The sequence below is a fragment of the Homo sapiens genome, chromosome 7, assembly GCF_000001405.40.
Source record: "Homo sapiens chromosome 7, GRCh38.p14 Primary Assembly".
Lineage (NCBI taxonomy): Eukaryota > Metazoa > Chordata > Mammalia > Primates > Hominidae > Homo > Homo sapiens.
The window spans coordinates 13,805,510-13,822,238 of NC_000007.14; the positions used below are offsets into that span (position 1 = coordinate 13,805,510).

The 16,729-nt window shown below is 40.4% G+C and overlaps 2 annotated features.

The window, feature by feature from the left end:
• Positions 430–1,194: an enhancer, noted in NCBI's record as "NANOG-H3K27ac-H3K4me1 hESC enhancer chr7:13845564-13846328 (GRCh37/hg19 assembly coordinates)". NCBI's record gives its function as "activates a minimal SCP1, AML or CMV promoter by ChIP-STARR-seq in naive H9 embryonic stem cells {active_cell/tissue: H9 hESC(naive)}" and the evidence as "EXISTENCE:reporter gene assay evidence [ECO:0000049][PMID:30033119]".
• Positions 1,195–1,957: an enhancer, noted in NCBI's record as "NANOG-H3K27ac-H3K4me1 hESC enhancer chr7:13846329-13847091 (GRCh37/hg19 assembly coordinates)". NCBI's record gives its function as "activates a minimal SCP1, AML or CMV promoter by ChIP-STARR-seq in naive H9 embryonic stem cells {active_cell/tissue: H9 hESC(naive)}" and the evidence as "EXISTENCE:reporter gene assay evidence [ECO:0000049][PMID:30033119]".

Here is a 16,729-nt window from a genome sequence, read left to right on the forward strand (position 1 = left end):
AATATAACCAGCTAGCATCATAATGACAGGATCAAATTCACACATAGAAATATTAACCTTAACTGTAAATGGGCTAAATGCCCCAATTAAAAGACACAGACTGGCAAATTGCATAAACAGTCAAGACCCATCACTGTGCTGTATTGAGGAGACCCATTTCACGTGCAAAGACACACATAGGCTCAAAATAAAGAGATGAAGGAATATTTTCCAAGCAAATGGAAAGCAAAAAAAAAAGCAGGGTTTGCAATCATAGTCTGTCATACAACAGACTTTAAACCAACAAAGATCAAAAAAGACAAAAAAGGGCATTACATAATGTTAAAGGAATCAATGCAACAAGAAGAGCTAACTATCCTAAATATAGATGCACCCAAAACAGGAGCACCCAGATTCATAAAGCAAGTTCTTACAGACCTACAAAGAGACTTAGACTCCCATGCAATAATAGTGGGAGACTTTAACACCCCACTGTCAATATTAGACAGATCAACGAGACAGAAAATTAAGAAAGATATTCAGGACTTGAACTCAGCTCTGCACCAAGCAGACCTAATAGACATCTACAGAATTCTCCACCCCAAATAAACAAAATATACATTCTTCTCACCACCACATCACACTTATTCTAAAATTGACCACATAATTGGAAGTAAAACACTCCTCAGCAAATGCAAAAGAACAGAACTCATAACAAACAGTCTCTCAGGCCACAGTGCAATCAAATTAGAACTCAGGACTAAGAAACTCACTCAGGATCGAGGAGCCAAGATGGCCGAATAGGAACAGCTCCGGTCTACAGCTCCCAGCGTGAGCGACGCAGACGACAGGTGATTTCTGCATTTCCATCTGAAGTACCGGGTTCATCTCACTAGGGAGTGCCAGACAGTGGGCGCAGGTCAGTGGGTGCGCGCACCTTGTGCGAGCCGAAGCAGGGCGAAGCATTGCCTCACTTGGGAAGCCCAAGGGGTCAGGGAGTTCCCTTTCCCAGTCAAAGAAAGGGGTGACGGACGGCACCTGGAAAATCGGGTCACTCCCACCCGAATACTGCGCTTTTCCGACGGGCTTAAAAAACGGCGCACCACGAGATTATATCGCGCACCTGGCTCGGAGGGTCCTACGCCCACGGAGTCTCGCTGATTGCTAGCACAGCAGTCTGAGATCAAACTGCAAGGCGGCAGCGAGGCTGGGGGAGGGGCACATGCCATTGCCCAGGCTTGATTAGGTAAACAAAGCAGCTGGGAAGCTCGAACTGGGTGGAGCCCACCACAGCTCAAGGAGGCCTGCCTGCCTCTGTAGGCTCCACCTCTGGGGGCAGGGCACAGACAAACAAAAAGACAGCAGTAACTTCTGCAGACTTAAATGTCCCCGTCTGAGGGCTTTGAAGAGAGCAGTGGTTCTCCCAGCACGCAGCTGGAGATCTGAGAACGGGCAGACTGCCTCCTCAAGTGGGTCCCTGACCCCTGACCCCCGAGCAGCCTAACTGGGAGGCACCCCCCAGCAGGGGCACACTGACACCTCACACGGCAGGGTATTCCAATAGACCTGCAGCTGAGGGTCCTGTCTGTTAGAAGGAAAACTAACAAACAGAAAGGACATCCACACCAAAAACCCATCTGTACATCACCATCATCAAAGACCAAAAGTAGATAAAACCACAAAGATGGGGAAAAAACAGAACAGAAAAACTGGAAACTCTAAAAAGCAGAGCGCCTCTCCTCCTCCAAAGGAACGCAGTTCCTCACCAGCAACGGAACAAAGCTGGATGGAGAATGACTTTGACGAGCTGAGAGAAGAAGGCTTCAGATGATCAAATTACTCTGAGCTACGGGAGGACATTCAAACCAAAGGCAAAGAAGTTGAAAACTTTGAAAAAAATTTAGAATGTATAACTAGAATAACCAATACAGAGAAATGCTTAAAGGAGCTGATGGAGCTGAAAACCAAGGCTCGAGAACTACGTGAGAATGCAGAAGCCTCAGGAGCCAATGCGATCAACTGGAAGAAAGGGTATCAGCGATGGAAGATGAAATGAATGAAATGAAGTGAGAAGGGAAGTTTAGAGAGAAAAGAATGAAAAGAAATGAGCAAAGCCTCCAAGAAATATGGGACTATGTGAAAAGACCAAATCTACGTCTGATTGGTGTACCTGAAAGTGATGGGGAGAATGGAACCAAGTTGGAAAACATGCTGCAGGATATTATCCAGGAGAACTTCCCCAATCTAGCAAGGCAGGCCAACGTTCAGATTCAGGAAATACAGAGAACGCCACAAAGATACTCCTCGAGAAGAGCAACTCCAAGACACACAATTGTCAGATTCACCAAAGTTGAAATGAAGGAAAAAATGTTAAGGGCAGCCAGAGAGAAAGGTCGGGTTGCCCTCAAAGGGAAGCCCATCAGACTAACAGCGGATCTCTCGGCAGAAACCCTACAAGCCAGAAGAGAGTGGGGGCCAATATTCAACATTCTTAAAGAAAAGAATTTTCAACCCAGAATTTCATATCCAGCCAAACTAAGCTTCATAAGTGAAGGAGAAATAAAATACTTTACAGACAAGCAAATGCTGAGAGATTTTGTCACCACCAGGCCTGCCCGAAAAGAGCTCCTGAAGGAAGCGCTAAATATGGAAAGGAACAACCGGTACCAGCCGCTGCAAAGTCATGCCAAAATGTAAAGACCGTCGAGACTAGGAAGAAACTGCATCAACTAACGAGCAAAATAACCAGCTAACATCATAATGACAGGATCAAATTCACACATAACAATATTAACTTTAAATGTAAATGGACTAAATGCTCCAGTGAAAAGACACAGACTGGCAAATTGGATAAAGAGTCAAGACCCATCAGTGTGCTGTATTCAGGAAACCCATCTCATGTGCAGAGACACACATAGGCTCAAAATAAAAGGATGGAGGAAGATCTACCAAGCAAATGGAAAACAAAAAAAGGCAGGGGTTGCAATCCTAGTCTCTGATAAAACAGACTTTAAACCAACAAAGATCAAAAGAGACAAAGAAGGCCATTACATAATGGTAAAGGGATCAATTCAACAAGAAGAGCTAACTATCCTAAATATATATACACCCAATACAGGAGCACCCAGATTCATAAAGCAAGTCCTGAGTGACCTACAAAGAGACTTAGACTCCCACACATTAATAATGGGAGACTTTAACACCCCACTGTCAACGTTAGACAGATCAACAAGACAGAAAGTCAACAAGGATACCCAGGAATTGAACTCAGCTCTGCACCAAACAGACCTAATAGACATCTACAGAACTCTCCACCCCAAATCAACAGAATATACATTTTTTTCAGCACCACACCAAACCTATTCCAAAATTGACCACATACTTGGAAGTAAAGCTCTCCTCGGCAAGTGTAAAAGAACAGAAATTATAACAAACTATCTCTCAGACCACAGTGCAATCAAACTAGAACTCAGGATTAAGAATCTCACTCAAAACCGCTCAACTACATGGAAACTGAACAACCTGCTCCTGAATGACTGTTGGGTACATAATGAAATGAAGGCAGAAATACAGATGTTCTTTGAAACCGACGAGAACAAAGACACAACATACCAGAATCTCTGGGACGCATTCAAAGCAGTGTGTAGAGGGAAATTCATAGCACTAAATGCCCACAAGAGAAAGCAGGAAAGATCCAAAATTGACACCCTAACATCACATTAAAAGAACTAGAAAAGCAAGAGCAAACATATTCAAAAGCTAGCAGAAGGCAAGAAATAACTAAAATCAGAGCAGAACTGAAGGAAATAGAGACACAAAAAACCCTTCAAAAAATTAATGAATCCAGGAGCTGGTTTTTTGAAAGGATCAACAAAATTGATAGACTGCTAGCAAGACTAATAAAGAAAAAAAGAGAGAAGATTCAAATAGACACAATAAAAAATGATAAAGGGGATATCACCACCGATCCCACAGAAATACAAACTACCATCAGAGAATACTACAAACACCTCTACGCAAATAAACTAGAAAATCTAGAAGAAATGGATAAACTCCTCGACACATACACTCTCTCAAGACTAAACCAGGAAGAAGTTGAATCTCTGAATAGACCAATGACAGGAGCTGAAATTGTGGCAATAATCAATAGCTTACCAACCAAAAAGAGTCCAGGACCAGATGGATTCACAGCCGAATTCTACCAGAGGTACAAGGAGGAATTGGTACCATTCCTTCTGAAACTATTCCAATCAATAGAAAAAGAGGGAATCCTCCCTAACTCATTTTATGAGGCCAGCATCATTCTGATACCAAAGCCAGGCAGAGACACAACAAAAAAAAGAGAATTTTAGACCAATATCCTTGATGAATATTGATGCAAAAATCCTCAATAAAATACTGGCAAAACGAATCCAGCAGCACATCAAAAAGCTTATCCACCATGATCAAGTGGGCTTCATCCCTGGGATGCAAGGCTGCTTCAATATACGCAAATCAATAAATGTAATCCAGCATGTAAACAGAGGCAAAGACAAAAACCACATGATTATCTCAATAGATGCAGAAAAAGCCTTTGACAATATTCAACAACGCTTCATGCTAAAAACTCTCAATAAATTAGGTATTGATGGGACGTATTTCAAAATAATAAGAGCTATCTATGACAAACCCACAGCCAATATCATACTGAATGGGCAAAAACTGGAAGCATTCCCTTTGAAAACTGGCACAAGACAGGGATGCCCTCTCTCACCACTCCTATTCAACATAGTGTTGGAAGTTCTGGCCAGGGCAATCAGGCAGGAGAAGGAAATAAAGGGTATTCAATTAGGAAAAGAGGAAGTCAAATTGTCCCTGTTTGCAGACGACATGACTGTATCTCTAGAAAACCCCATTGTCTCAGCCCAAAATCTCCTTAAGCTGATAAGCAACTTCAGCAAAGTCTCAGCATACAAAATCAATGTACAAAAATCACAAACATTCTTATACACCAACAACAGACAAACAGAGAGCCAAATCATGAGTGAACTCCCATTCACAACTGCTTCAAAGAGAATAAAATACCTAGGAATCCAACTTACAAGGGATGTGAAGGACCTCTTCAAGGAGAACTACAAACCACTGCTCAAGGAAATAAAAGAGGATACAAACAAATGGAAGAACATTCCATGCTCATGGGTAGGAAGAATCAATATCATGAAAATGGCCATACTGCCCAAGGTAATTTACAGATTCAATGCCATCCCCATCAAGCTACCAATGCCTTTCTTCACAGAATTGGAAAAAACTACTTTAAAGTTCATATGGAACCAAAAAAGAGCCCACATCGCCAAGTCAGTCCTCAGCCAAAAGAACAAAGCTGGAGGCATCACACTACCTGACTTCAAACTATACTACAAGGCTACAGTAGCCAAAACAGCATGGTACTGGTACCAAAACAGAGATATAGATCAATGGAACAGAACAGAACCCTCAGAAATAACGCTGCATATCTACAGCTATCTGATCTTTGACAAACCTGAGAAAAACAAGCAATGGGGAAAGGATTCCCTATTTAATAAATGGTGCTGGGAAAACTGGCTAGCCATATGTAGAAAGCTGAAACTGGATCCCTTCCTTACACCTTATACAAAAATCAATTCAAGATGGATTAAAGACTTAAACGTTAGACCTAAAACCATAAGAACCCTAGAAGAAAACCTAGGCATTACCATTCAGGACATAGGCATGGGCAAGGACTTCATGTCTAAAACACCAAAAGCAATGGCAACAAAAGCCAAAATTGACAAATGGGATCTAATTAAACTAAAGAGCTTCTGCACAGCAAAAGAAACTACCATCAGAGTGAACAGGCAACCTACAAAATGGGAGAAAATTTTCACAACCTGCTCATCTGACAAAGGGCTAATATCCAGAATCGACAATGAACTCAAACAAATTTACAAGAAAAAAACAAACAACCCCATCAAAAAGTGGGCAAAGGACATGAACAGACACTGCTCAAAAGAAGACATTTATGCAGCCAAAAAACACATGAAAAAATGCTCATCATCACTGGCCATCAGAGAAATGCAAATCAAAACCACAATGAGATACCATCTCACACCAGTTAGCATGGCAATCATTAAAAAGTCAGGAAACAACAGGTGCTGGAGAGGATGTGGAGAAATAGGAACACTTTTACACTGTTGGTGGAACTGTAAACTAGTTCAACCATTGTGGAAGTCAGTGTGGTGATTCCTCAGGGACCTAGAACTGGAAATACCATTTGACCCAGCCATCCCATTACTGGGTATATACCCAAAGGACTATAAATCATGCTGCTATAAAGACACATGCACACGTATGTTTATTGAGGCATTATTCACGATAGCAAGGCTTGGAACCAACCCAAATGTCCAACAATGATAGACTGGATTAAGAAAATGTGGCACATATACACCATGGAATACTATGCAGCCATAAAAAAGGATGAGTTCATGTCCTTTGTAGGGACATGGATGAAATTGGAAATCATCATTCTCAGTAAACTATCGCAAGAACAAAAAACCAAACACCGCATATTCTCACTCATAGGTGGGAATTGAACAGTGAGATCACATGGACACAGGAAGGGGAATATCACACTCTGGGGACTGTGGTGGGGTGGGGGGAGGGGGGAGGGATAGCAATGGGAGATCTACCTAATGCTAGATGACGAGATAGTGGGTGCAGCGCACCAGCATGGCACATGTATACATATGTAACTAACCTGCAGAATGTGCACATGTACCCTAAAACTTAAAGTATAATAATAAAAAAAAATTAATAAATAAATAAATAAAAAAGAAACTCACTCAGAGCCACACAACTACATGGAAACTGAACAACCTGCTCCTGAAGGACTACTGGGTAAATAACGGAATTAAGGCACAAGTAAATAAGTTCTTTGAAACCAATGAGAACAAAGATACAACGTACTAGAATCTCTGGGACACGGCTAAAGCAGTGGTTAGAGGGAAATTTATAGCACTAAAAGCCCACAGGAGAAAGCAGGAAAGATCTAGAGAAGCAGGAGCAAACAAATTCGAAAGCTAGATCCTTGAGGAATTGCCACACATGAGAAAGTGGGAAAGATCTAAAATCAACACCCTAACATCACAATTAAAAGAACTAGAGAAGCAGGAGCAAACCTATTCAAAAGCTAGCAGATGACAAGAAATAACTAAGATGAGAGCAGAACTGAAGGAGATAGAGACATGAAAAACCTCTCAAAAAAATCAATGAATCCAGGAGCTGGTTTTTTTGAAAAGATTAACAAAATAGATAGACCGCTAGCCAGACTAATAAAGAAGAAAAGAGAGAAGAGTCAAATAGACACAATAAAGAATGATAAAGCGGATATCACCACTGATCCCACAGAAATACAAACTAGTATCAGAGAATACTATAAACACCTCTACACAAATAAACTAGAAAATCTAGAAGAAATGGATAAATTCCTGGACACATGCACCCTCCCAAGACTAAACCAGGAATAAGTCAAATCCCTGAATAGACAAATAGCAAGTTCTGAAATTGAGGCAGTAATTAATAGCCTACCAACAAAAAAAAAGCCTAGGACCAGATTGATTCACAGCCGAATTCTATCAGAGGTACAAAGAGGAGCTGGTACCATTCTTTCTGAAAGGGTTCCAAACAATAGAAAAAGAGGGAATCCTCCCTAACTCATTTTATGAGGCCAGCATCATCCTGATACCAAAACCTGGCAGAGACACGAAAAAAAAAAAAAGACAATTTCAGGCCAATATGCCTGATGAACATTGATGTGAAAATCCTCAGTAAAATACTGGCAAACTGAATCCAGCAGCCCATCAAAAAGCTTATCCACCATGATCAAGTCAGCTTCATCCCTGGGATGCAAGGCTGGTTCAACATATGCAAATCAATAAATGTAATCCAGCATATAAACAGAACCAATGACAAAAACCACATGATTACCTCAACAGATGCAGAAAAGACCTTTGATAAAATTCGACACCCCTTCATGCTAAAAACTCTCAATAAACTAGGTATTGATGGAACGTATCTCAAAATAATAAGAGCTATTTATGACAAACCCACAGCCAATATTATACTGAATGGGCAAAAGCTGGAAGCGTTCTCTTTGAAAACTGGCACAGGACAAGGATGTCCTCTCTCATCACTCCTATTCAACATAGTATTGGAAGTTCTGGCCAGGGCAATCAGGCAAGAGAAGGAAATAAATGGTATTCAAATAGGAAGAGAGGAAGTCAAATTATCTCCGTTTGCAGATGACATGATTGTATATTTAGAAAACCCCATCCTCTCAGCCCCAAATCTCCTTAAGCTGATAAGCAACTTCAGCAAAGTCTCAGGATACAAAATCAGTGTGCAAAAATCATAACCATTTCTATACACCAATAACAGACAAACAGTGAGCCAAATCATGAGTGAACCCTCATTCACAATTGCTACAAAGAGAATAAAGTACCTAGGAATCCAACTTACAAGGGATGTGAAGGACCTCTTTAAGGAGAACTACAAACCACCGCCAAGGAAATAAGAGAAGACACAAACAAATGGAAAAACATTCCATGCTCATGGATAGGAAGAATCAATATTGTAAAAATGGCCATTCTGTCCAAAGTAATTTGTAGATTCAATGCTATCCCCATCAAGCTACCAATGACTTTCTTCACAGAATTAGAAAAAACTACTTTAAATTTCATATGGAACCCAAAAAGAGTCCATATAGCCAAGACAGTCCTATGGAAAAAGAACAAAACTGGAGGCATCACACTACGTGACTTCAAACTATACTACAACCAAAACAGCATGGTACTGGTACCAAAACAGATATATCAACCAATGGAACAGAACAGAGGCCTCAGAAATAATGCCACACATCTACAACCATCTGGTCTTTGACAAACCTGACAAAAACAAGAAATGGGGAAAGGATTCCCTATTTAATAAATGGTGTGGCTAGCCATATGCATAAAACTGAAACTGGACCACTTCCTTACACCTCATACAAAAATTAACTCAAGATGGATTAAAGATATAAATGTAAGACCTAAAACCATAAAAACTATAGAAGAAAATCTAGGCAATACCATTCAGGACAAAGTCATGGGCAAAGACTTCATAACTAAAACACCACAAGCAATGGCAACAAAAGCCAAAATTGACAAATGGGATCTTATTAAACTAAAGAGCTTCTGCACAGCAAAAGAAACTATCATCAGCGTGAACAGGCAACCTACAGAATGGGAGAACATTTTGCAATCTATCCATCTGACAAAGGGATAATATCCACAATCTACAGGGAACTTACACAAATTTACAAGAAAAAAACAACCCCATCAGAAAGTAGGTGAAGGATATGAACAGACATTTCTCAAAAGAAGACATTTATGCGGCCAACAAACTTATGAAAAAAAGCTCAAAACCACAATGAGATACCATCTCACGCCAGTCAGAATGGCGATCATTAAAAAGTCAGGAAACAACAGATGCTGGAGAGGATATGGAGAAATAGGGATACTTTTACCCTGTTGGTGGGAGTGTAATTTAGTTCAAGCATTGTGCAAGACAGTGTGGTGATTCCTCAAGGATCTAGAACCAGAAATATCATTTGACCCAGCAATCCCATTACTGGGTATACACCCAAAGGATTATAAATCATTCTCCTATAAAGACACATGCACATGTATGTTTATTGCAGCACTGTTCAGAATAGCAAAGACTTGGAGCCAACCCATATCCACGTCAATGATAGACTGGATAAGGAAAATGTGATACATACACACCATGGAATACAATGCAGCCATAAAAAAGGATGAGTTTATGTCCTTTGCAGGGACATGCATGAAGCTGGAAACCATTCTCAGCAAACAAACACAGGAACAGAACACCAAACATTGCATGTTCTCACTCATAATTGGGAGTTGAACAATAAGAACACGTAGACACAGAGAGGGGAACATCACACATCAGGGCCTGTCAGGAGGTGTAGGGCTAAGGGAGGGATAGCATTAGGAGAAATGCCTAGTGTAGGTGATGGTTGATGGGTGCAGCAAACCACCATGGCACGTATACACCTATGTAACAAACCTGCATATTCTGCACATGTATCCCAGAACTTAAAGTATAATGATTTTAAAAAACCCTTTAGGCCGGGCGCGGTGGCTCACTCCTGTAATCCCAGCACTTTGGGAGGCCAAGGCGGGCGGATCACGAGGTCAGGAGATCAAGACCATCCTGGCTAACACGGTGAAACCCTGTCTCTACCAAAAATACAAAAAAATTAGCCAGGCGTGGTGGCTGGGGCCTACAGTTCCAGCTACTCAGGAGGCTGAGGCAGGAGAATGGCATGAACCCGGGAGGCGGAGTTTGCAGTGAGCCAAGATAGCGCCACTGCAGTCCAACCTGGGCCAAAGAGTGCGACTCCGTCTCAAAACAAAACAAAACAAACAAACAAAAAAACCCTTTATACAGCAGGACAAAGAAAAAGTAAGAAATTAATTGAATGATTTGCACACATATTTCTCTCTGCCAGTTTAGTATTACTCATACTAGATAAAAAGAAGACAAATGTCAGTGAAAAAAATGGCTACTCCCTGAGTTTCTCCCATTGACCCTTTTTTACAGTTTCAATATTAATTGAAGTGGCTCACTGTACTGCTTCTGTGGAATTAGGATTGGCATTAAGAGGGTGTTCTTTTTTATGAACTTTTATTATTATTTTACCTTTATGTTTATTTTTTTTTAGAGAGAGACTTTGAGATTTATTTTAAGGAACTGGTTCACATGATTGTTGGAACTGCGGGTCTGAAACCTGTAGGACAGACCAGGAGGCTGAAATCTCAGGCAGGTGTTGATGCTGCAGCTTGAGACAGTCTTGAGACAGAATTTCCTCTCCTGGAAACTTCAGTTCTGCTCTTATGGCCTTCGACTAATTGGATGAGGCCCACCCACATCATCATGTGCAATCTCCTTAATTTAAAGTGGATTGATTATAGATGTTAATCACATCTATAAAATGCCTTAATGGAAACCCCTAAATAAGTGTTTGATTAGATAACCAGGTACTATAGCTTGGGCAACTTGATGCATAAAGCCAGCCGTCGCAAGTATCCTTTGGGGATTTTTATGTTGTTGTTGTTGTTGTTGTTATTTTGATTGTTATTATTATTTTAATTTATTATTATTATTATCAACTTTTATTTGAGATTCCAGGGGTAGATGTACAGGTTTGTTACCTGGGTGTATTGTTTGTTGCTGAGGTTTGTATGAAGGATCCGGTCACCCAAGTTCTGAGCATAGAACCCAAGTGTTAGTTTTTCAACCACTGCCCTCTTCTCTCCTTCCCCTGATAGTAGTCTTGCATCAGTGTGACCTGGATATGAGACATGAAGTCAAAGGAGATTATTTTGGAGCTTTAAGATTTGACCGCCCTGCTGGATTTTGGACTTGCATGGAGCCTGTAGCCCCTTTGTCTCAGCTAATCTCTTCCATTTGGAATGGCTGTATTTATCCAATGCCTATACTCCCATTGTATCTAGGAGGTAACTAACTTGCTTTTGACTTTAAAGGCTCGGACTTACCTTGTCTCAGATAAGACTTTGGACTGTGGACTTTTGAGTTAATGCTGAAATGAGTTAAGTCTTTGGGGGAATGTTAGGAAAGCATGAATGGTTTTGAAATGTGAGGACATGAGATTTGGGTGGGGCCAGAGGTGGAATTAAATGTTTTGGCTGTGTCCCCACCCAAATTTCATTTTTAATTCTGACATGTTGTGGGAGGGACCTGGTGGGAGGTAATTGAATCATGGGGGCAGGTCTTTCCTGTGCTGCTCTTATGGTAGTGAATATGTCTCATGATATCTGATGGCTTTATAAGGCAGAGTTTTCCTGCACAAGCTGTCTCTGCCTGCTGCCATCCATGTAAAATGTGACTTGCTCCTCCTTGCCTTCTGCCATGATTGTGAGGCTTCCCCAGCAATGTGGAACTGTAAGCCTATTAAACCTCTTTCTTTTGTAAATTGTCCAGTCTTGGGTATGTCTTCATCAGCAGCATGAAAACAGACTAATAGGCCATCTTTATGTTCATGAGTACCCAACATTTAGTTTCCATTAAGAGGATTTTCTTACCAATGAGAATCACTCTGTCAGTGATTATCACTTTAGTAATATGCTCCATGAATTACATGTATACATTGCATGTATTCTTTTGTGTATCTAATATTCCATTCCATTAAAAATAGTGAAAAGACATAATTGTGTTTAAAAATCCTTTGAGAAGTGATGATTCTCAAATCATCACATGACAGGAAAGACCTGCCCCTGACTCTGTTAACTCATTGATCTAATTGAAATGGCAGGAATAAATCTCAGGGAATTACTTCAGCATCACTATCCTCGCTAAAGTGGCCATAGTCTTTGCTTTTGTTCTTAGGAGAATCTCAATCTACGAACCTTTCAGGTAGGTCTCCTTAGATCTAAGAACTTCAAGGATACAATCCAATAGGTAAACTAAATAAGGTTAATTATAATTCAAGTGTCCCACCGGTATTGTCTTCTATGGTAAGAAAATATACTGTTATCAATATAATTAGGAATTAGTGGAAAGAGCTATTAGTATCTCTATCACTACCTCCATGACGCATTATAGTTTTGTTTTAACACTGAGCCTGCTGGAAATGTTATTAACGTGCCTGTCAAAACTGAAGAATAAACATTTAGATTATAGCTTATAGACAGAGTTTAATATTTGATTCCCCAATCCTAAACAAAGACATATAATTTGTATATTTTGTAGAAATTTTATACAAATATTTTCTGCTTACTCAAATAATAGCACATGATGCTATAAACTATGATGCTATAAAGAGAAAATAATTATACAAAGGTTAAGAGAACAATTTTTCCAAAAGTAGAGAAGAGCTCAGTCTCACTTTCATAGCTCCACATGGAATAAGTCAATGCAGGGGATACACATTTTACATTGACCTGAAAATTAGTATTAGTAGTTCTAATATTATGTTGATATGTTTTTAGATTGTTCACCACTTAGATCAACAAAATGAAGTGGAGTAATTCCTTCAACAAATATTTACTGAATACTGCTATACCCTGTGGAGAACAGAGGACGGTTTGCAATGAAAGGTGTCTGGAAAAAAGTGACACCTGAGTGAGTTCTCAAAAGTTAGCTAGGTCACGGGGGGGAAGGAAAGTCTTCCAAATAGCAAAAGCAAAGATGCAGCACAGAGGAGCTAACGGTGTCTGACAAAGATGCAAGCAGTTTGGCATTGCTGAGGCATAAAGTGCAAGGGAGCAGCTAGCTGGAGGTGCCGCTGGAGATACAGGCAAGGATCAGAGAAGAGAGCTTTTGCTCTGAGTTAAGCAGTTTGAGATATATCTCCTAAATTACAAGAAGACGTTGAAAGACTTTAAGCACAGGGTTCCATGTGTTTAAATCTGCATTTCTGAAGAATCATTCTAGCAGCTGGGTTGAAGATGGATTTGACTGGGACGAGAAAGGGAAAATAAGACCGATTAATAAACTAATGAAGAAGCAGCAGATGGATAAGGGATAATGAGAATGTAAACTAAGCTGATGACTGTAGGGATGGATTAGAAAGGATGGATTAGGATTTTAAAATTATCTATATTCGGCCGGGCGCGGTGGCTCACGCCTGTAATCCCAGCACTTTGCGAGGCCGAGGCGGGCGGATCACGAGGTCAGGAGATCGAGACCATCCCGGCTAAAACGGTGAAACCCCGTCTCTACTAAAAATACAAAAAATTAGCCGGGCATGGTGGCGGGCGCCTGTGGTCCCAGCTACTTGGGAGGCTGAGGCAGGAGAATGGCGTGAACCCGGGAGGCGGAGCTTGCAGTGAGCCGAGATCCCGCCACTGCACTCCAGCCTGGGCGACAGAGCGAGACTCCGTCTCAAAAAAAAAAAAAAAAAAATTATCTATATTCTGTGATTAATTATATATGGTTGGTATACACGAGAGAGGGGTAAATTTATTACAAATTTTTGCCCACATTTCCTGGCCATGATTCTATCAACTGAGATAAAAAATATAGGATGAGGAAAGAAATTTGGTAGGGGGAGATAATTTTGCTTTTCAACATATTGTTTGTAAATTTTCTATGGGACGGTCATTTGTTGATGTCCAGTAGACTGTAGGATATGTATCTGGGGAGGGGTTTGGACCATGCATTTAAGCTTAGAAGATGAAACTGTGTGAGTAGATTAGATAACCCAGTAAGCATGAGAAACTGAGGTGGATGAAAAGAAGATAGAGACAAAGAAAAAACAGTAAGAAAGATTAAGACCCAGGAGAATGCCGTATCACAAAAGCCAAGTGAAGGAGAAATAGAAATGGCAAATACAGAAGAGAGGACTAGGAAAAAAAAAGACTAGGAAAGGCCTCAGTTAGCTATTAGGAAAAATTAGAAGCCATATTATAGTGGAAAAATAAATAAATAAGAGGTGAATGTGTTACTATGGTCAGGCAAAATAATTGGGCAGGTTCTCAAATATCAATAATAAGAAAATAAAACCCGATACTAATTTTTGTTATTTCATCAGGGACCTAGTACTATATGACAATTTTTCTAAATCTCTGACTCTATACTTTATGTGCATTAGATTATAATAGAACCATTTTTTTTTTTTTTTTTTTTTGAGACGGAGTCCTGCTCTGTTGCTCAGGCTGTAGTACAATGGCCCGATCTCGGCTCACTGCAACCTCCGCCTCCCGGGTTGAAGCGATTCTCCTGCTTCAGCCTCCTGAGTAGCTGGGATTACAGGCGCGTGCCAACATGCCCGGCTAATTTTTGTATTTTTAGTAGAGACGGGGTTTCACTAAGTTGGTCAGGCTGGTCTGGATCTCCTGACCTCGTGATCCGCCCGCCTCGGCCTCCCAAAGTGCTGGGATTACAAGGGTAAGCCACCGCGCCCAGCCAATAGAACAAATTTTAAAAGATGGAGTAATACCAACATTAAAAGGCAGACAAAATTGCCGCATGATACAAACAGTATCTAAGAATAATAGGAGTGGAAAGGAGAAATAAACAAGGTAGATTTGGGGTGTGAAGAGTAGTTAATGATACATTATAATTCTTAAGTCCTTTGAAAGCAATTCTCCATGAGGACATTCTCACAAAGGGCCAATTTCTTTTTCTTTCTTTCTTTCTTTCTTTCTTTCTAAGGACCAATTTCTCTTTCTTCCTTCCTTCCTTCCTTCCTTCCTTCCTTCCTTTCTTTCTTTCTTTTCTTTCTTTCTCTCTTTCTTTTTTGAGACGGCGTCTCTCTCTGTTGCCCCAGCTGGAGTGCAGTGGCAGGATCTCAGCTCACTGCAAGCTCCACCTCCCATGTGTATGCCATTCTCCTGCCTCAATCTCCCGACAGGCGCCCGCCACCGTGCCCGGCTAATTTTTTTGTATTTTTAGTAGAGACGGGGTTTCACCATGTTAGCCAGGATGGTCTCGATCTCCTGACCTCATGATCCGCCCACCTCGGCCTCCCAAAGTGCTGGGATTACAGGCGTGAGCCACCGCGCCCGGCCCTACAAAGGGCCAATTTCTATCCATCCTCATGTTAGTAGAAAGTGCCTCATATTTATATAGCGATTAAGGACAGCACCTGGCTTGCTTTGGGGACATGTAATATTATCAAGCCACATTATATGCTGAGCAAATGTGTTCTCTAAAACATGACCGTAAATTGTGAGTCACCGTATTTTCTGCCTATTTCCATTTTGTATTGAAGAGTAGTAGAAGGCAATAGTAGTTTAAAATCTGATTCATAGGCAAAAACTGCTTCCCTAGAAAAGAACCAATTTTACAAAACCACTGATGAAGTTCAGATGATTCAATCATCAGCCTCAAGTTTTAAGTCAGACTCGTACTTTTCCCCTCACTTTGACCAGAACATATTGCTGCTGCAAAGCAATTTGCACTTTAAAACTTTAAAGAGAGCAGAAAGGACTAGACTTGCCAGAAGGCAGTTGGGCAATTGTCACAGGCAGATTGTTTATTCCACCCAGAGGTTTATGATTATTTTCATAGTATTCTGCAAAGATCAAGATAAAGTGCTAACAGGCTATGGTTTTTATAAAGGTGGAGTTTAAAGTATTATAAAGCAATAAACCATCAAATTGCTTGACAGTTTATACAGGTAGGTTGTTCATATAACTATATGAGCAAGGAATACACTTTATTTTTATTAGTTCCAAAACTGTGTGGCCCACAATCAGTTCAATCAGAACAGATTGAACAATCTGAACAATCAGAAGAGATTTTCTTAATTTTTGTCTGATTTTTTAACAAAATTCTGCAAGTGATTCATTGTTTGACTGCAGTAAACCAGTAATGTTTGAAACAAGAATCAATGTTGGCACCAGAAATCATAAGTCTGTTCTTTTTCAACTTCAAATACAATTAATTAATAAGAATTGCAAAAATTCAATGATGAAAGCAAAAATCTCAGGACTTATGAGGGAAGCAAGAAAAAACAAAAGGCTCTCCCTTTTTAATGACACATAAAGGGAAGAAATCAGGGTCCTATTATGTTTCCTACTCTGAAATAAAATTGCCCAAGCTGGGAACCTGACAATCGTGTGTATTATTTCCCTATGGGTGCCATAACAAAGTATCGCCAGCTGGATTTTTTAAGCCACCCAGAAATTTGTCTCACGGTTCTAGAGGCTAGAAGTTCACAATCAAAGTG